Raw genomic sequence first — 19,686 nt, forward strand, 5'->3', positions numbered from 1 at the left:
ATTTGGCAGAGTGTCCAGTAAAGGTCTTCCACTTACCACTATACATTTGTTTGGGGATGGCTAAGCATGGACTGATGGGCAAAGTCTTGGAAAGGCTTGAGCTCTTTCCATCATCGTTTAATGCTTCCAAGGAACACTAAATTTTCCTCCTGACCTGAGACGCACAAAGTAAACTTTGTGCATTCAGCATTCAGCATTCAGAGGTGGAAGCCGGATTGCCATAGGGGGCTGACCTGCAGGGTGTTAAATTTCAGGAAATAGCAGAGAGAGCTCAGTATGTTGGATTATCCCAAGCAATGGGATTTTGAAAAAGAGCCACCATACAGTCCTTATCTGAGTGGAAAGGGGATAATCTGGGATTCTGGCCTACTGTGCGTACAAGTGTAATAATCGCTTTTATTTGAAGTGCTAATGGATTATTTAATCCATTTCAGCCAGGCATTTGCATCTTGATATTTTGTCTTGACAGCGAAGGTCTGTCTGTCTTAGATCTCTTATTTTTACAAGACACCTTAGTTTTACCAGATGTAGGAGCAACTGGTGTGGGATCTAGATCTGAGGCAGCTTAAGAAGGGAAAGATGAGGGAATAATGTGTATTTTTAAAATAACTGGGGGGTCTTTTTTATTTATGTTAATTTTTTTTTTTTTTTTGAGACGGAGTCTAGCTCCGTCACCCAGGCTACAGTGCAGTGGCGCGATGTCAGCTCACTGCAACCTCCGCCTCCCGGGTTCAAGCAATTCTCCTGCTTCCGCCTCCCAAGTAGCTAGGATTACAGGCACCCACCTCCGCGCCCGGCTAATTTTTGTATTTTTAGTAGAGATGGGGTTTCACCATCTTGCCCAGGCTGGTCTCAAACTCCTGACCTCAGGTGATCCACCAGCCTCGGCCTCCCAAAGTGCTGGGATTACAGTCATGAGCCACCACGCCCAGCCTACTTATGTTAATTTTTATACCATAGAAGCGACTAAGGGCGTGTCTAGAGTTCCTTAAGGTGGAGGTGGTGATAAAGAGAAAGACAGGGTTATATTGACAAGGCTGACAGTAAGAAGGGGTAGTCCTTTTAGTGAAATAGATGAGGGGTTTTAGGTCTGCACAAACCTTTTTGTGGAAGTCTAACTTTGCTATTGGGTAGTTTGAGTGATGCAGTCCTATTTACTACAATGTTGCCAGGCAGTAGGAGCAGAAAATTGGTGTCTTGGCTGCAGGTCATTACAACAATGAGTGCTAGGAATAACTGTGTCAATTAAAGGGCTGGGATATAAATATTTGTGTGAAAAGGCTAGCTGCTGTTGATCTTTTACATTTCTACAAGGTATGACAAAGCAAGCATTAAAGGCAATAGTCTGAGTGAGTCAGACTTAGTTACATTAATAACAAAGGAGCTAATAACAGAATAAGAAAAGGAAGCAGTATAGAAGGTATATGAAAATTAATCTTTCTTTAACTTAGTAGGGCTTGATCCTAGTACAGTAACCCATGATTCTGAGAGGAAGATGTTTTCTTGACTTGAGTGTGGTGGGTCCATTTTTTTTTTTCCTCAGCTGTGTGGACGGCAGTCTCAGGGGTTAACAGCGTAAAATAGGGTTCTTCCCAGGCTGGTTTGAGTTTTTTCTTTCTAGCTTTTGATGAGGACGTGGTTTTCAGGCTGGTGCTGGTGTACTGGAAATTCTAGGGGTGGTACCTGTGCTAAAAGACTTTTAGGTCCGAGGGAAGTGAAAGTGGAAGATAAATTAAGTATAGGATTTTTGCTGCATATTCTGGGGCCTTAGGCGTCATGGTGTCACCTCCTGCTCCATTCTTGTTCAGCGCCACCCAGGGGAGGCTGCAGCCCTGCCCCTTCTTAATGTCTTGGCCTTCTTGTGGCCTTCACCACCCTTGCTCACTGTGGCCTTCAGGATGAGGGGCCTTGTGACTTACCTGGCCATCTTAGGGCCTTAAGAAAGCTAAATACCATTGTATATTTGTCAATTTTTTTGTATGATTTTATATCAAATAAGTTAAATTTTATCTTTAGTGGCCAGGCGCGGTGGCTCACGTCTGTAATCCCAGCACTTTGGGAGGCTGAGGTGGGTGGATCTCCTGATGTCAGGAGTTCGAGACAAGCCTGGCCAACATGGTGAAACCCCGCCTCTACTAAAACTAAAAAGTAAATAAATAAATAAATTTATCTTTATATTAATATGCTACTAATATTAAACTTAATTTTAGTAAGATCTTATAGACATTATCTAATTTTAATGTCTGACTATAAGGCAAGACTTTTACAGACTGTTTTTATAATTTTTGTTAAAGAGCACGTTGGTGCTTTAAGAAAAATCTATCGTGCTTTAATTTTAACGTCCAGTTCACAGAAAAACTGGATGACACCCTTTTAACTTTAGCCAATATGTTTACACACAGAATTTGATACCCTCTTAACTTTAGCCAGTATGTTTACACACAGAATTTCCTTGACAATTAACATTTTAAAACTTGCTTAAACCTTTAAAACAAAAAAATTGTCTTAACCTTTAGTGTAGGTAAAAATCCATATTCTTATGCCTCCTTGTAATCTTATTAAAAGTATATTTTATTTTTCTTACATACCTTGTAAACTGTTTAATAATAATTTTATATCCAGGAGGCCTAATTACTTTTAAATTATACAGTATTTATTGCATACATTCCCTTTTATAGCTTTTCTTACGACTTTCACAATCTTCAACATGTCTTAACTTTCTGCCTTCCTTTTACACTATTTTTTTCCTAGTTTCACCTCCTTTGTCTTCTTTTGATTTCTGTCTCTTCCAGTTTCTCTCTTACTCTTTCCTTCTATTTCTTTCTCTCATTTGCACTCTATTTTCCGCTCTCTCATCCCGTTTCCCTTTCTTCTCCGGACTTCTCCCGCTCCTGCCGCAAGCAGGGCTGGGCCACCGCACAGGCCCCGCCCCCGACCCCGCGCTGCTGTTTTTCTTTTTTTTCCCCCTGATTTCCCCTCTTACTTTTTTTTTTTTCCTTTTCTTTTTACACTTAGTTTCTTGGGCTGAGTGGGATTTGCGTGGCTGCAGTCTGGGCCCCGGGCAGTCACTAGCCTAGAGGCTTGGCAGATATGCCTGCCGCAAATTGCAAGAATTACGCCTTTTCACCTCCTCTGCTCTCCTCCCGGAGCCGGTGCCCACCCTCTTTTTCACAAACCGCAGGGCTGGGGAGAGGGACTTAACCTTTGGCCTGCCTGCCTGGCTGTTTGGCTCTGCGCTTGCTGTTTTTGGTTTCTTTCTCTTCTACTGGTCTTTCCTTTGTCTTTGCCAGCCACCTATGCTGCTGTTTTCTCCTCTGCTTCCCTCTCCCCTAGGGGAGGGACCGGCAGGAGTGGAGCTACTGTTTCTTTCCCTGAGAAGAAAGAAAAGGGGAGTTCTGAATATTTTTCTTACTACTGGAGGTTTGTGTGAGGTTCAACCCCCCCAACAATAGGGATTTCTCACCTCTAAGACATCCTAAGGAATACTTTACCACCCCTGCGGTTTTTCTCTCTTTGGTATGTCCTAACCAAGGAATGCTTTACCATCCCGGCTTTTTCCTTAGTCCCGACCACCAAGGAAATACTTTACCGGCTCCTGCGGCTTCTCCTTCCTTGGTCTGTGCACAGTTGTCATTCCATTACATGAGGATCTTTAAGCTAGGTTGCTGGCCAGTTTTTTTTTTTTTTGCCCCCATTGCTGAGAGCCCAGGTTTATTCGTCACACCGGGTGGGTCTCAATTTCTTACCTATGAGGACCTTGCAATGAAGTAGGGGAGCGCTACCCCATGAGAGAGGACTGGAGACCGCCCCTAGAGAAGAATGTATCCCCGTACGGATTGCCACCAAATTGTTTGAAATGCTTGTTCTCCGGTGCCATAAAGAAATAGCACTTGAACATAAATTTATTTAGTAAGGCCATTTTTACTTCCTGCAGAAAGGGTACACTCAGCCAGCAGTTTTGGCACGAGAGTACACAACTAAGGAGATAGGGTCATTTATAACCTGACGCGTCCACCCTACTGCTATGTCCGGTTTCCACTGGCTGGGATGGGGCCTCACATTCTGTATTTGTCCCGATTGGCGAGCAACTTAGAATTTTTTTTTTTTTTTTGATGGAGTCTCACTCTGTCGCCCAGGCTGGAGTGCAGTGGCAGGTTCTCAGCTTACTGCAAGCTCCACCTCCCGGGTTCACGCCATTCTTCTGCTTCAGCCTCCCAAGTAGCTGGGACTACAGGCTCCCGCCACTATGCCTGGCTAATTTTTTGTATTTTTCCTAGAGACGGGGTTTCATGTGTTAGCCACATGGTCTTGATATCCTGACCTCGTTACCCGCCCGCTTTGGCCTCCCAAAGTGCTGGGATTACAGGCGTGAGCCACCACCCCCCACCACCGCCCAGCCAATTTAGAACCTTTTAAAAGAAGCAAAGGTAGATGAGAACAAAGGAAGGAGGAAGTAACTTGTGGAATGCTGAGAAAGGTGAAAACACTTTTAAATAAGGAAGAGGAACAGGCTATGACCTAATGCTTGCTTGGACCAGTATAAGCATGCCAAGGCAAATATTTAGGCTAAATTGTGGGAGCTAAGAACATAAAGTACGTTGATTTCTTTATGACGGCTAGCAGATATTTAAGAATGTTAGCACAGGTCTTTGAATAAATTTTGCTTATAAGAGAAGTTACCATTTATTCCTAATTAGGGAGGAAAGTCTTTGAAAAGGAACCTCTACTTTACTTTTTAGTTACTATGAGGATCACTATATCAATGTTTCTTAATTCATATGCTAAAGTGCACTCAATTTTTTTTTTTTTTTGAGACGGAGTCTCGCTCTGTCGCCCAGGCTGGAGTGCAGTGGTGCGATCGCCAATTGCCGCTCAATGCAAGCTCTGCCTCCTGGGTTCACGCCATTCTCCTGCCTCAGCCTCTGGAGTAGCTGAAACTACAGGCACCCACCACCACGCCTGGCTAATTTTTTGTATTTTCCCTATAGAAGGCGTTTCACCATGTTAGTCAGGATGATCTCGATCTCCCGACGTCGTGATCCACCTGCCTCGGCCTCCCAAAGTGCTGGGTTTACAGGCGTGAGCCACCACGCCCTGCCCTCAATTTCTTTTTTCACATTGACATCTATCTCAAAGGAAGAGCAACTTAACCAATGCCTTTGTGGTACACATCAGTGGCTACAACTTTCACAATTACAGCACAGATAAAAAAGGCATCTGAATAACAGCATAAACATGGCATCTGAGCTCCAAAATTTCATCTCCTTACAAGAAAGTGGTTATTTTCCAGTGACTGCAGGAATAGTTTCACACTGGGTACTGGCATTATCTCAGAATAAATGTTTTTGTTTTATTTTTTTTGAGACAGCGTCTAACTGTCGCCTAGGCTGGAGTGCAGTGGTGTGATCTCAGCTCACTGTAACCTCTGTTGCCTGGGTTCAAGTGATTCTCCTGCCTCAGCCTCCTGAGTAGCTGGGATTACAGGCATGTGCCACCACGCCTGGCTAATTTTTGTATTTTTAGTAGAGATGGCGTTTCACTATGTTGGCCAGGCTGGTCTCAAACTCCTGACCTCAAGTGATCCACCCACCTTGGCCTCCCAAAGTGCTGGGATTACAGGCGTGAGCCACCACGCCTGGCCTCAGAATCAATTACAGGCGCAGTGGCTCACGACTCAGGCCTGTAATCCCAGCACTTTGGGAGTCCAAGGCAGGCAGATCATTTGAGGCCAGGAGTCTGAGATGAACCTGGTAACACGGCAAAACCCCATCTCTTCTAAAAATCAAAAAACAGCCAGCATGGTGGCTCATGCATGTAATCCCAGCTATGTGGGAGGCTCAGGTGGGAGAATCGCTTGAACCTGGGAGGTAGAGGTTGCAATGAGCCAAAATCACGCCACTGCACTCCAACCTGGTCGACAGTCTTTAAAAAAAAAAAAAAAGCAGCCGCACGCGATGGCTCATGCCTGTAATGCTAGCACTATGGGAGGCCGAGATGGGCGGATCACAAGGTCAGGAGATCGAGACGATCCTGGCTAACACAGTGAAACCCTGTCTCTACTAAAAATACAAAAAATTAGCCAGGCGTGTTTGCGGGCGCCTGTAGTCCACAGGACTGGCTGAGGCAGGACAATGGCGTGAACCCGGAAGGCAGAGCTTGCAGTGACCTGAGATTGCCCCACTGCACTCCAGCCTGGGGGACAGAGTGAGACTCCACCTCAAAAAAAAAAACACAAAAAAACACAAGCAGCAACTCAAATATCCATAAACGGATGAATGAATATATAATGACATTTCATGGCAGACTATACTTCTCAGCAATATACAACAAATTAACTCATGTCTACATTGATATCAAAATAAGCATGATGCAGGAGAGCACCCAGGGATTATAAGAGGAAACACTTTATTACATCAGTCAGAAAATTCTAGAAAATGGAAAGTATTATACAGCAGAGTAAATCAATGGTTGTCTGCATAGAGAAAAACTTTATAAAGGCTCCAGGTGAATACAAAGGTGATAGATTAGATAAATTCATTATTGTGACTCTGATGATGGTTTCATGGGATTATAAGAAAATTCAAGCCAGGAGCAGTGGCTCACGCCTGCAATCCCAACACTTTGAGAGGCCAAGGCGGGCAGATCACGAGGTCAGGAGATTGAGAACTTCCTGGCTAACAGGGTGAAACCCCATCTCTACTAAAAATACAAAAAAGGTAGGAGTGGTGGTGGTTGCCTGTAGTCCCAGCTATTAGGGAGGCTGAGGCAGGAGAATGGCATGAACCCAGGAGGCAGGGCTTGCAGTGAGCCGAGATTATGCCACTGTACTCCAGCCTGGGTGACAGAGCGAGGCTGTCTCAAAAAAAAGAAAAAGAAAATTCAAGACTTATCCTACAGCTCAAATATGCATACTTTATTGGATGTCATTTATATATTTTATTTTTGAAACAGGGTCTCACTCTGTGGTCCAGACTGGACTGCAGTGTTGCAATCTCGGCTCACTGCAACCTCTGCCTCCCAGGCTCAAGCAAATCCTCCCATGTAGCAATCCTCCCACATGACAGCTCTCCTGTGAGTTATGCAGCCAGACTTCTGGATAAATATCCTGTATTTGTCACACTAGTAAGGCCTTCATTCAGTGTTAACTATAATCCTGAAGGAATACAGAGGTGTGGCTACAAAACTGCCCAAATTTATTTTACTTGTAAGGACTCTTCTCTAGTGTGAACTCTCCAATATCCAAGGAGAGCAGACCTTTGGGTAAACATTTTCCACATTTGCTGCAATCACAGGATCTTACTCAGGTGTGTATTCTCCAATATTTAATGAGACTGGACTCACTGCACTCATAAGCCCTTTCTTTTGTGAACTCTCTGATGATGACGAAGTGAAGAGATTTGCCTAAATTTTTTTTCACATTCACTGCACCCGTAAGGCTTTTCTCCAGTGTGAACTCTCCTGTGTTTAGTGAGACTGGAGCTTTCGGCAAAAGATTTCCCACATTCACTGCACTCATAAGGCTTCTGACCAGTGTGAACTCTCTTATGAACACGGAATGTAGAGCTGTGGGTAAATGACTTCCCACAATCACTGCATTCATATGGCCTTTCTCCAGTGTGAACTCTCTGGTGTGCAATGAGGTGGTACTTGTGCCTAAAAAATTTCTGACAAACCTCACACTCATATGGCTTCTCTCCAGTGTGAATTCTCTGGTGTACAAGGAGGTGGGACTTACTGTTAAATAATTTCCCACATATCCCACACGTATAAGGTTTTTCTCTAGTGTGAACTCCTTGATGATTACTGAAGCTGTCATATTTGCTAGAGGATTTCCCACATTCACACCACACAGAAGGTTCTTCTGTAGGGAGCAGTCTCTCGTGCTGACTGAGTATATCTTTGGTGCTAAAATGTTTCATGCATCCTCCACAGCTGTAATGGCTTTTTCCCCCATGAAACAGAGACACACACTCAGTTTTGCTGTTTGACTTCCCAGTGTGAGTGGCCTCTTGCTGGAGTAATCCTGACCTGAGCAAAAAGTCTTTCCCACTCTCACTGAAGACAGATGACTCCCCTGACACATGCAACTTACACCTCTTCGCAAACAACGCCTCCTCAACACTCCCTCTGTAGGGTTTCTCTCCAATGTGCTCATTCTGGTGCTGATGAAAGTTTCCACTGTCATACAATTTATTCCCCCAGGCCTCACACCTGTGCAGTTTCTGCTTGTGATGTGTTCCCTGATGATCTGCCACATGCAAAATGTCTCCCAAGATCGGGCCACACATCTCACAGGGGTGGGCCTTCTTGGGAGACACACCTGCCATAGGAGTCCTGACCTGAGTCTCTCTTTGTATATAAATACTCTGCTTAGAAGGTGCCGCCTCATCTTCCACTCCACACCAACAACCTGAAAGCAAGAAAATGCTGGTGAAGTGCATGTTAACTCTGGTGGGAAGGCACAGACCACCCACAAGTGTATCTGAAAAACTGAGGAATTACTCCAAGGAAGTACTTGGAGGAACAGGATGTTGGCTTCAGGTGGAAGATGGTGCTATGTATTATTACTGGACTATAATGGTCACAGAATGTAGGAGGCCTCATAACATAAAGGACACAACCATGTATGTAACACAGGGAGTAGAGGCAGGGTCTACAATCCCTGCATCTGCAAACCACTCATCTGCAGAATTTATGTCCTCATGACATGCGAGTGCTGTAGAGAGGGATTTGTCCAGGCCAAGGAAAACACAAGCACAACACAGCAGCTTCTGCTTGAGGACAGTTTAACAAAGTGTACACATTTGCTAACACAAAACCTGTATGCTAATACTGGAAACCACTGCAGATGAAGATGTGAATAAAATTAAGATGTGAGGTCCAGAGATGTGAAGATTATTCAGGGGAATAAATATCAGACTACAAGCTCATGTACAAATCAGTTAAAGGATTTAAAAAAAAAAAAAGTACAACTGACAAGGAGTACAACTGACAATTCTGAGGTTCTTAACAATGGGGAAGAGGCCAGTACCAGTGGCTCACAGCTGTAAACCCAATGTAGGAAGATCACCTGAGCCCAGAAATCCAAGACCAGCCTGGGAAACATGGTGAGACCCTGTCTCTACAGAAATTATTTTTAAAATGGCCAAGCATGGTGACTCATGCCTACAATCCCAGCACTTTGGGAGGCTAAGGCAAAGGGATCACTCAGGCCCAGGAGATCAAGACCAGCCTGAGCAACACAGCAAAACCTCTCTACAAACATTAGCCAGGTGTGATGGTGTGCACCTGCAGTCCTAGCTACTCAGGAGACTGAGGCTGGAGGATCACTTGAGCCCAGGAGGTTGAGGCTGTGTGAACTATATTCACACCACTGCACTCCAGGTAACAAAAATGACAGTGTGAGAACCTGTCTCAAAAAAGAAAAGAGAAGAGGAGAGGAGAGGGGAGGGAAAGGGAGAAGAGGGAAGAGGAAAGAGAAGAGAGAAGAAAAGGGCCAGGTGTCGTGGGTCATGCCTGTAATCCCAGCACTTTGGGAGGCAGAGCTGGGCGGATCACCTGACGTCAGGAGTTTGAGACCAGCCTGACCAACATGGAGAAACACTGTCTCTACTAAAAATACAAAATATTAGCCTTTGGGGAAAAGAAAGAGAGATCAGACTGTTACTGTGTCGATGTAGAAAGAAGCAGACATAAGAGACTCCATTTTGTTCAGTACTAAGAAAAATTATTCTGCCTTGAGATGCTGTTAATCTGTAACCCTACTCCCAACCCTGTGCTCCAGAAACATGTGCTGTGTCAACTCAAGGTTAAATGGATTTTGGGCTATGCAGGACGTGCTTTGTTAAACAAGTGCTTCAAGGCAGCATGCTTGTTAAAAGTCATCACTACTCCCTACTCTCAAGGACCCAGGGACACAAAACACTGCCTAGGAAAGCCAGGTATTGCCCAAGGTTTCTCCCCATGTGATAGCCTGAGATATGGCCTCATGGGAAGGGAAAGACCTGACAGCCCGACGCCAGTAAAGGGGCTGTGCTGAGGATTAGTAAAAGAGGAAGGCCTCTTTGCAGTTGAGATAAGAGGAGGGCATCTGTCTCCCGCTCATCCCTGGGCAATGGAATGTCTGGGTGTTAAAACCCAATTGTATATTCCATATACTGAGATAGGAGAAAACCGCCTTAGGGCTGGAGGTGAGACATGCTGGAGGCAATACTGCTCTTTAAGGCATTGAGATGTTTATGTATATGCACATCAAAAGCACAGCACTTTTTTCTTTACCTTGTTTATGATGCAGAGACATTTGTTCACATGTTTTCCTGCTGAACCTCTCCCCACTATTACCCTATTGACCTGCCACATGGTAGAGATAATGATCAGTAAATACTGAAGGAACTCGGAGACTGGTGGCGGCAGGGGGAAGGCAGGGTTCCTCCGTATGCTGAGCGCCAGTCCCCTGGGCCCACTTTTCTTTTTTTTTTTTATTTTTTATTCTTTATTGAGACGGAGTCTCGCTCTGTTGCTCAGGCTGGAGTGCGGTGGCACAATCGCGGCTCACTGCAAGCTCCGCCTGCCGGGTTCACGCCATTCTCCTGCCTCAGCCTCTCCGAGTAGCTGGGACTACAGGCGCCCGCCACCACGCCTGGCTAATTTTTTTGTATTTTTAGTAGAGACAGGGTTTCACCGTGGTCTCAATCTCCTGACCTCGTGATCCGCCTGCCTCGGCCTCCCAAAGTTCTGGGATTACAAGCATGAGCCACCGCACCCAGCCCACTTTTCTTTCTCTATATTTTGGATCTGTGTCTCTTTCTTTTCTCAAGTCTCTCATTCCACCTGACGAGAAACACCCACAGGTGTGGAGAGGCAGGCCACCCTTCATTAGCCGGGCATGGTGGCACATGCCTGTAATCCCAGCTACTCAGGAGGCTGAGGGCAGAATTGCTTGGGCCTGGGAGACAGAGGTTGCGGTGAGCCAGATCGCACCATTGCGCTCCAGCCTGGACAACAAGAGCGAAACTCCATCTCAAAAAAAAAAAAAAAAAAAAAAACAATGGAGAAGGCCAGGTGCAGTGGATCATGCCTGTAATCCCAGCACTGTGGGAGGCAAAGGCAGGCGGATCATGAAGTCAGGAGTTTGAGACCAGCCTGGCCAATATGGTGAAACCCCATCTCTACTAAAAATACAAAACATAGCCAGGCGTGGTGGTGCACGCCTGTAGTCCCAGCTACTTGGGAGGCTGAGGCAGAAGAATTGCTTGAACCTGGGAGGTGGAGGTTGCAGTGAGCCAAGATCGCACCACTACACTCCAGCCTGGGCAACAAAGTGAGACTCTGTCTCAAAAAAAAAAAAAAAAAAAAAAATTAGCTGGGCATAATGGCATGCACCTGTATTCCCAGCTTCTCAGGAGGCTGAAGCAGGAGAAGTGCTTCAGCCCAGGAGGCAGAGGTTGCAGTGAGCAGAGATCAAGCTACTGCACTCCAGCCTGGGCAACAGAACAAGACCCTTTCTCAAAAAACAAACAAACAAAACCAAAAACAAGAATGAAGGAGAAAAGACGATACAGAAATCATGTGTGCTTACTTGTCTGGCCCCAAAAATACTACTGAAATAGAAGAGGTTTCTGTCATGATTTGAATAAAACTCTTGACATCATGCACCACTGTCCTAGGATGCTATTTTTCAGGGACTCAGAACCCATAATGCTGAGGCCAGATTCATTTGCATCTTCTGACCACAGAAGATGATCCCACCACCAAGATAACCAAGTACATGAGACATACATGATGTAAGAACAAAGGGAAAGACAGAACAAGGAAACAGCCAACACTGGCTTAGAACAACTCAGCACATGACAGCAGACAGGAAACAATATTACAAAAAGAATTTCTGTTTTTTGAGACGGAGTCTTGCTCTGTTGCTCAGGCTGGAGCGCAGTGGCACAATCTCAGCTCACTGCAACCCCTGCCTCCTGGGTTCAAGCTATCCTCCCACCTTAGCCTCCCAAGTAGCCAGGATTAAAAGCGTGTGCCACCACACCTGGCTAATTTTTATATTTTCAGTAGAGATGGGGTTTCACCATGTCGGCCAGGCTGTTCTCGAACTCCTGGCCTCAAGTAATCCACCTACCTTGGCCTCCCTGAGTGCAGAAATTATAGGCATGAGCCACTGCACCAGACCTATGAAGAGAATTTCTAAGGACGGTATTACAAGAACAGTCTATAGTCTATGTAGGCAGTGACAATGTCAATGAAGACAATTCCTGGCACAGGGAGGCATGAAGAAATAACAGGTAGAGGAATGAATTAGATCCCGAACCTGAAATCTGGATGAAATCACACAAACATCCACAGGACAAACAAGGTAGCCTGCATTAAGTTGCCTGTAAGACTTCTGACTCTGAATTCTTCCCTGGGAGCTCAATAGCAGGTGTTGGGGCTGCTCCAAGAATGGAGAGGGCAGTATGCATACCTCAGTCCTACCAACCAAGAACTGAAGTAGGAAGCTGTGTCCATGCTCCTGACATGAGAAAGTCTTGCCAATAGAAAAAGAGGGGGAAAGACAGAGACTAGCTCAGGTCACAGGGGTGAGTGTGGGCAACTTACCCAGGGAGGACATAAGTGCCAGGTTCTCCAGCGTCACATCACGGTACAGGCATCTCTGAGCCTCACTAAGGAGATTCCATTCCTCCTGGGTAAATTTCACAGCCACGTCTTCAAAAGTCACTGTGCCCTGTTATGATGTTGACAGATGAAACCACAAACCACCCCTATGCTGAGGTATCACAATCCATCTCTCCCACACATCTACTCTCGCACATCCTCCTCTCAAGGTCCTCAAACATAGGAGAAACTAGGCCCACTGGTCATGGGGTACAGCCACCAACAACAATAGTTAGTTGAACAAATAGGTATCTGTGCGGTGGCTGTGATATAAGAGTCCACCCCCTCCTGACAGGCACTTCCCCTAGTATGGCCGAGGTCATGGAAAGCCCAATGTGGCACCTTCAGCACAGCAGAGATACCCTCTCTGAACGCACCTCATTCTTTTTTTTTTTTTTTTTTTTTTTTTTTTGATACGGAGTCTCGCTCTGTCACCCAGGGTGGAGTGCAATGGCGCGATCTCGGCTCACGCAACCTCCGCCTCCCGGGTTCAAGCGAGTCTGCTGCCTCAGTTTCCCAAGTAGCTGGGATTACAGGCATGCGCCACCACGCCTGGCTAATTTTGTATTTTTAGTAGAGACAGGGTTTCTCCATGGTTGGTCAGGCTGGTCTCTACCTCCGGACCAACCCGCCTAGGCCTCCCAAAGTGCTGGGATTACAGGAGTGAGCCACTGCACCCGGCCCCACCCTCCACTTTCTTGTATGCGTTCCTTAAATGCTTCTACAGCCATAAAGGCCTGAGGGAAGAGGCTGACTTTACAGGACTGTGTCCCTGATAGGATCTGGTAAGCTCAGGCCTCCCTGAACGCTTTTGTGTCCACGGAGCCAGGTGACCTTGGACTATTGTCTAACCTGCGTGTCTCAGCACAAAGTGTCATCTCTACCACCTATATGATCTACAAGGATTCAATCTCAAAGGGCCCCAACGTCATCCCCTCTCTACTCTGTTATTTATTTGGCCTTTAGGAAACTTTAAAAGCCTGGACTTTGATCCAGTCCCTTCTTTCTTGGAAATTCTCCTATTTCTAGTGTCCTCGCAATGATTTCACAGCCCCCAGCCTCCTTGCTTTTCCAGGAGGAGTTCCGCCTCACAGGTTGTTCCCTACAGGCGCCTGTGGACCCCAGGTTCCATCCTCCCGGATCCGTCCATCTCCAGGCCATTGCCCGCGCCCCTCCCTGTACCTGTCGCTCTCCCCACCGCATCCCACGGGTGTCTGAAACAGGGATCCCTCCCGAGAGCGCCTCAGTGTCCCGACGCCGGGTCCGGGTTGCAGAGCCGTAAACAGGTGCCGCTCCCTCGCTGCTTTAGGACTTGTGTGACTAGGAGGTGACCGGAGAGCACGGAAGGCGCCACAATTACCTGAACGGGGAACCTTAGCGCGGCCGCCGCCATGGGACCACGTGGGGTAAGCTGGGTTGAGAGCAGCGGGCGCCGTTAAAGAGCTGCAGAGTCACGTCTGTGCAAAGAGAAGAACGACTCTCGACCTCCTGGATCCAGTCACCACCACGGTCCCAACACAGCGCTCCAAGGACTCCCTAACGCCAATGGAAATGGTCGCTACTAAAGGGCGCCGGGAGTCCCGCCTCTACCTTACTTGCGCACACGGAAACGCCTTCAATGTGAACTCTCACTGGCTCTGCCGTGCTGTCATTTGACGCAGAGCTTTCTGGGTAATGTAGTTTCCCAGGTTCCAAGGCCGTAAAGAGAGAGATTCCCAGGGGCGCTTCGGAAGGAAAAGCCCAGCTCCACCTCCGGGGCCCTCAGGGAAGCCTCCTGACCCGCACGGTGGCGCGCGCCTGTAATCCCAAATTTTGAGAGGCTGAGGTGTCAGGACTGCTTGAGCCCAGGTGGTCCAGGCTGCACTGAGCTATGACTGCACCACTGCACTCCAGCCTGGGCGACAGAACCTGTCTCAAAAGAAAAAGAAATGTTAATTAAGCGTTTGTGCTGTTAAGGGAGGAGACCACCTCTCATATTGTTTTATGCCCAATTTCTGCCTCCAAAGAAACAAGTAAAAACTAAAAGGCAGAAATGAAATCCACAGGCAGACAGCCAGGTGCCAACCCTGGGCCTGGTTAAAGATCGACCCCTGACCAAACCGGTTATGTTATCTATGGATTCCAGACATTGTATGGAAAAGCATTGTGAAAATCCCTGTCCTGTTCTGTTCCGTTCTGATTACCACTGCATGCAGCCCCCAGTCGTGTACCCCCTGCTTGCTCAATCGATCACAAACCTCTCATGTGGACCCCCTTAGAGTTGTAAGCCCTTAAAAGGGACAGGAATTCCTCACTTGGGGAGCTTGGTAGTTGGAGATGTGAGTCTTGCCAAAGCTCCAGGCTGAATACAGCCCTGCGGCTTGTCCTGCTACATTTCTTGGTTCCCTGACTGGGAAGCCAGGTGATTAACAGATAGTCGAGGCAGCCCCTTAGGCAGCTTAGGCCTGCCCTGTGGAGCATCCCTACAGGGGACTCTGGCCAGCTTGAGGGACGCAGAACCTGAGAGCACTCCCGGGTAGGCAATTGCCCCAGTGGAACACCTCGCCAGAGTGGCGTGTGGCAGGCCCCCACAGAGGATCAATGCAGCGGCTGAACACTGGGAAGGAACAGGCACTTGGAGTCCGGACATCTGAAACTTGGTAAGACTAGTCTTTGGAACTTGCCCACTCCATTTGAGTGGAAGGGTGGCCTGATCACCCACGGCATGCCTGTACCGGCACTTTGGTTTTTGTTTTTGACTTGATTTGGATTGCTTGATACTTTCGTTTTGGTTTTGACCTGGCTTGGATTTCTGGATACTCTGATTTGGATTTTGATTCTGGTTTGGTGTAAACGGTAAAAGTGTATGTGTGCCCTTTTTACCTGTTCTTTGTTTTGTGGTGTGCGTGTGGTGTGAGCGTGGTGTTTTGTCTCAAAGAAGCATGGGTCAGGCACAAAGTAAGCCCACTTCACTAGGAACTATGTTGAAACATTTCAAGAAAGGATTTAAGGGAGATTACAGTGTTACTATGACACCAGGAAAACTTAGAACTTTGTGTGAAATAGACTGGCCAGCATTAGAGGTGGGTTGGTCATCAGAAGGAAGCCTGGACAGGTCCCTTGTTTGAAAGGTATTGTGTCCAGAATTGGTTCCTTCCGGTGGGTTCTTGGTCTCGCTGACTTCAAGAATGAAGCCGCAGACCCTCACGGGCAGTGTTAAAGTTCTTAAAGATGGTATGTCTGGAGTTTGTTCCTTCAGGTGTTCAGATGTGTCTAGAGTTTCTTCCTTCTGGTGGGTTCGTGGTCTCGCTGGCTTCAGGAGTGAAGTGGCAGACCTTCGCGGTGAGTGTTACAGCTCATAAAGGCAGTGCGGGCCCAAAGAGTGAGCAACAGCAAGATTTATTGCGAAGAGCGAAAGAACAAAGTTTCCACAGTGTGGAAGGGGACCTGGGCGGGTTGCTGCTACTGGCTGGCCAGCTTTTATTCCCTTATTTGACCCCACCCACATCCTGCTGATTGGTCCATTTTATACAGCGACAGAGTGAGACTCCACCTCAAAAAAAAAAAAAAAAAAAAAAAGAAGAATCTCATTTTGAAGCCAAAACCATCAGAGTGACCATTCCAATTATGTGCTGAGCATAATTCCATCTCTTAGACATCAGTGCTAACATTTCTCTGAGGCCCTAAGTTTTTTCACCATCTACTGATGTTTCCTCAGAACTACTTCTGTCAGAACTGTTGAATAATTACCTAGTCAGTGTTTTTTGTTTTTTTTTTTCACACAGAGTCTCGCTCTGTCGCCCAGGCTACAGTGCAACGGCTCAATCTTGGCTCACTGTAACCTCTGCCTCCTGGGTTCAAGTGATTCTTCTGCCTCAGCCTCCTGAGTAGTTGGGATGACAGGTGCGTGCCGCCACGCCCAACTAATTTTGTACTTTTAGTAGAGACGAGGTGTCACCATATTGGCCAGGGTGGTCTCAAACTCCTCACCTGGTGATCCACCCGCCTCGGCCTCCCAAAATGCTGAGATTACAGGCATGAGCCACCATGCCTGGCCTATCTAGTCAGTATTAATAGGCTTTCGTATCTTGCATTTTACAACTGTTTCTCTCATGTAATTTTAATTTTTCATGCAGAACACTCCCTGCTCTCTTAAGATAAATCAATGATAATCACTTCCCATCAATGACATGAACTCATGGATTTAACAAATGCCCAGTATGACCAGATGGAGAGCACTACCTTTAAGGACTGTAGCTATTACCACTATCAAGCTACCAAATCCTTTATTGTTGTTTATATATATAAAACTGACTTCAAATTCCTAAAAGGAGTTGAATATAAGTTAGAATATCAAGTAAAGGATACTAAGTGGGTAAAAGTGTGGTGCAATTAATTGAATGCTACAATTGATTTGTGAACCCCCCAAATGTGAGACAGGTCTCAGTTCATTTGAAAAATTTATTTTGCCGGCCAGGCGTAGTGGCTGACTCCTGTAATCCCAGCATTTTGGGAGGCCGAGGCAGGCGGATCACGAGGTCAAGAGATTGAGACCATCCTGGCCAACAAGGTGAAACCACTAAAAATATAATAATTAGCTGGGCAAGGTGCTGCGCGCTTGTAGGCCCAGTTACTCGGGAGGCTAAGGCAGGAAAATCGATTGAACCTGGGAGACGGAGGTTGCAGTGAGCCAAGATCTCGCCACTGCACTTCAGCCTGGCGACTGAGGGAGACTCAATCTAAAAAAAAAAAAAAGTTTATTTTGCCAAAGGTGAGGATGCATGCCCGTGACACAGCTTCAGGAAGTCCTGACGGCACGTGCCCAAGGTGGTTGGGGCACAGATTGTATGTTTTGTTTTGTTTTGTTTGAGACGGAGTCTTGCTCTGTCGACCATGCTGGAGTGGAGTAGCGCGATCTCTGCTCACTGAAAGCTCCGACTTCTGGGCTCATGCCATTCTCCTGCCTCAGCCTCTCTAGTAGCTGGGACTACAGGCGCCCACCACCAGGATGGCTAATTTTTTTTTGTATTTTTACCAGAGACGGGGTTTCACCCTGTTAGCCAGGACGGTCTGGATCTCCTGACCTCATGATCTGCCCACCTCCGCCTGCCAAAGTGCTGGGATTACAGGCCTGAGCCACCGCGCCGGCTGGTTTAATACATTTTAGGGGGGCATGAGACATCAGTGAATATTTGTAAGAATTACATCGGTTCTGACCAGAAAGGCGGGGACAACTCCAAGCAGGGAGGGGACTTCCAGGTCACATGTAGGTGAGAGACAAATAGTTGGATTCTTTTTAGTTTCTGATAAGTGTTTCCAAAGGAGGCAATCAGACTATGCACCTATCTCAGTGAGGAGAGCAATGACTGAATAGAATGGGAGGCAAGTTTGCCCTGAGCAGTTCCCAGATTGACTTTTCCCTTTAGCTTAGTAATTTTGAGGCCACAAGATTTTCCTTTCACAGATTCTATCAGCAGGAGAGTTGTTTTCTGTAGGAATCACAGAGATTCAGCTTTGCACTCCTGCTGTAGGGGAGCACATCCCTAACTTCCTTCATTTGCCTTAGGCACTCTAAGGCTTCTGAGGGCCTTCAGACACATTATAACACAACAACGCTTATCAGCTTCTGCTTCCAGTGCAGGTATTTTGCGACTGAACGACTGTTTCAAACGGTGTGGTAATTTGGATTTTTAGCCTTTGGGAGAATCCTAAATAATAGTTTCAGCTTGAGCTCCCTATTATTTACCTTGAGCTCCCCGAAATCTGAAGTAGTATTTTTCCAAATTCTTGAGTGATTAGTTACAGACACTAGTCTCCAGGAATCTCAATACGGCTTCTAAGGCTAGGTGAGACCCCTCCTCTGCCCTAGAAAGGCGCCTTTTTTTTTTTTTTTTTTTTTTTTTTGAGACAGAGTCTTGCTCTGTCGCGCAGGCTGGAGGGCAGTGGCGCGATCCCAGCTCACTGCAAGGAGGTTCACGCCATTCTCCTCCAGCCTCAGCCTCCAGAGTAGCTGTGACTATAGGCGCCCGCCACCACGCCCAGCTAACTTTTTTTTTTTGAATTTTTAGTAGACACGGGGTTTCACCGTGTTAGCCAGGATGGTCTCGATCTCCTGACCTCGCGATCCGCCCGCCTCAGCCTCCAAAAGTGCTGGGATTACTGGCGTGAGCCACCGCGCCCGGCCTCAGGGCGCGCTTTTAAGGAGAGTTCCTGACATGACGGTGGGCTTTTCCTGCAGATGCACCTCTGGGTAGCGCCCTCTTTACAGCCTTGAAACCTGGTCAACTACATTACTCAGAAAGCTCTGCGTTGAATGAATGCCGTCAGAGCCAATGAGGGCTCGGAAAGAAGCATTTCCGTGTGTGCGCCTAATGTAGGGCCGAGACTTCCGGGGTCCTCTTGTAGCGGCCACGTTGATCTGCGATACGCGTGTTTGCCCAGTGAGTGGCCCCGGACTGCTACGTGGGACTGCGGTGAATGAACCCAGAAGGTGGAGAGGAACCGTTCTCGGTGCACAGAGGCGGCTCTGCAGCCCGGTGAGGGCGCCTGCTGCTCCCGGGCAGTGCTTTCCCCAAGTAGTCCGATGGCTGCGGCTGCGCCGAGGCGCCCTACTCAGGTAATTGTGGCGTTTTCTGTGCCCTCAGGTCACCTCATCGTCACCCAGGTCCTAAACCAGCGAGGGAGAGGCTCCTGCTCACGGGTCTGTAGCCGGTACCCGGCGTAGGGACACTGAGGCGCTGGCAGGAGGGGTCCCTGTGTAAACGTCCAGTGGATTCACCTTGCCAGCTGCCTAGAGAGAGCCGATTTGTGAAGACAGGGGAATTGTAAGGAGAAATAGTAATTCACGCAGAGCCGGCTGTTCGGGAGACAGGAGTTTTATTATTATTCAAATCAGTCTCCCCGAGCATTTCTGGATCAGAGTTTTCAAAGTTAATTTGGCGGGTAGGGGCTTGGGAAGTGGGGAGTGCTGAACGGTCAGGTTGGAGATGGATTTATAGAGGGTTGAAGTGAGTTTTTCATGCTGTTTTCTGTTGTGGGTGGGATGGCAGA

General features: G+C 47.1%; 1 protein-coding gene across 2 annotated transcripts, besides 7 other annotated features; it reads right to left on the minus strand.

The window, feature by feature from the left end:
• Positions 1,632 to 1,691: an enhancer, noted in NCBI's record as "active region_15160". NCBI's record gives its function as "activates an Ori minimal core promoter by ATAC-STARR-seq in GM12878 lymphoblastoid cells {active_cell/tissue: GM12878}" and the evidence as "EXISTENCE:reporter gene assay evidence [ECO:0000049][PMID:35858748]".
• Positions 1,708 to 2,002: a silencer, noted in NCBI's record as "tiled region #649; HepG2 Repressive non-DNase unmatched - State 15:Elon". NCBI's record gives its function as "represses a minimal TATA promoter and a strong SV40 promoter by Sharpr-MPRA in HepG2 cells {active_cell/tissue: HepG2}" and the evidence as "EXISTENCE:reporter gene assay evidence [ECO:0000049][PMID:27701403]".
• Positions 1,862 to 1,911: an enhancer, noted in NCBI's record as "active region_15161". NCBI's record gives its function as "activates an Ori minimal core promoter by ATAC-STARR-seq in GM12878 lymphoblastoid cells {active_cell/tissue: GM12878}" and the evidence as "EXISTENCE:reporter gene assay evidence [ECO:0000049][PMID:35858748]".
• Positions 2,892 to 3,505: an enhancer, noted in NCBI's record as "NANOG-H3K27ac-H3K4me1 hESC enhancer chr19:58314953-58315566 (GRCh37/hg19 assembly coordinates)". NCBI's record gives its function as "activates a minimal SCP1, AML or CMV promoter by ChIP-STARR-seq in naive H9 embryonic stem cells {active_cell/tissue: H9 hESC(naive)}" and the evidence as "EXISTENCE:reporter gene assay evidence [ECO:0000049][PMID:30033119]".
• On the minus strand, positions 6,389 to 14,220 carry ZNF552 (zinc finger protein 552). 2 transcript variants are annotated; one of them, NM_024762.3, is made up of 3 exons: positions 14,018 to 14,220; positions 12,601 to 12,727; positions 6,389 to 8,410 (listed from the first exon to the last, which is right to left on the minus strand). In NM_024762.3, exons 1-3 carry the CDS (start codon positions 14,048 to 14,050, stop codon positions 7,347 to 7,349), a joined length of 1,224 nt encoding a protein of 407 aa, NP_079038.2. In that variant the 5' UTR covers positions 14,051 to 14,220; the 3' UTR covers positions 6,389 to 7,346. The 2 variants fall into 2 exon arrangements, with proteins under 2 accessions (NP_079038.2, XP_005259324.1); XM_005259267.5 differs by having other exon boundaries at positions 13,840 to 14,220.
• Positions 10,836 to 11,487: an enhancer, noted in NCBI's record as "H3K27ac-H3K4me1 hESC enhancer chr19:58322897-58323548 (GRCh37/hg19 assembly coordinates)". NCBI's record gives its function as "activates a minimal SCP1, AML or CMV promoter by ChIP-STARR-seq in primed H9 embryonic stem cells {active_cell/tissue: H9 hESC(primed)}" and the evidence as "EXISTENCE:reporter gene assay evidence [ECO:0000049][PMID:30033119]".
• Positions 14,495 to 14,544: an enhancer, noted in NCBI's record as "active region_15162". NCBI's record gives its function as "activates an Ori minimal core promoter by ATAC-STARR-seq in GM12878 lymphoblastoid cells {active_cell/tissue: GM12878}" and the evidence as "EXISTENCE:reporter gene assay evidence [ECO:0000049][PMID:35858748]".
• Positions 18,987 to 19,216: an enhancer, noted in NCBI's record as "active region_15163". NCBI's record gives its function as "activates an Ori minimal core promoter by ATAC-STARR-seq in GM12878 lymphoblastoid cells {active_cell/tissue: GM12878}" and the evidence as "EXISTENCE:reporter gene assay evidence [ECO:0000049][PMID:35858748]".

This window comes from Homo sapiens, chromosome 19, assembly GCF_000001405.40.
Source record: "Homo sapiens chromosome 19, GRCh38.p14 Primary Assembly".
NCBI classification, from domain to species: Eukaryota; Metazoa; Chordata; class Mammalia; order Primates; family Hominidae; genus Homo; species Homo sapiens.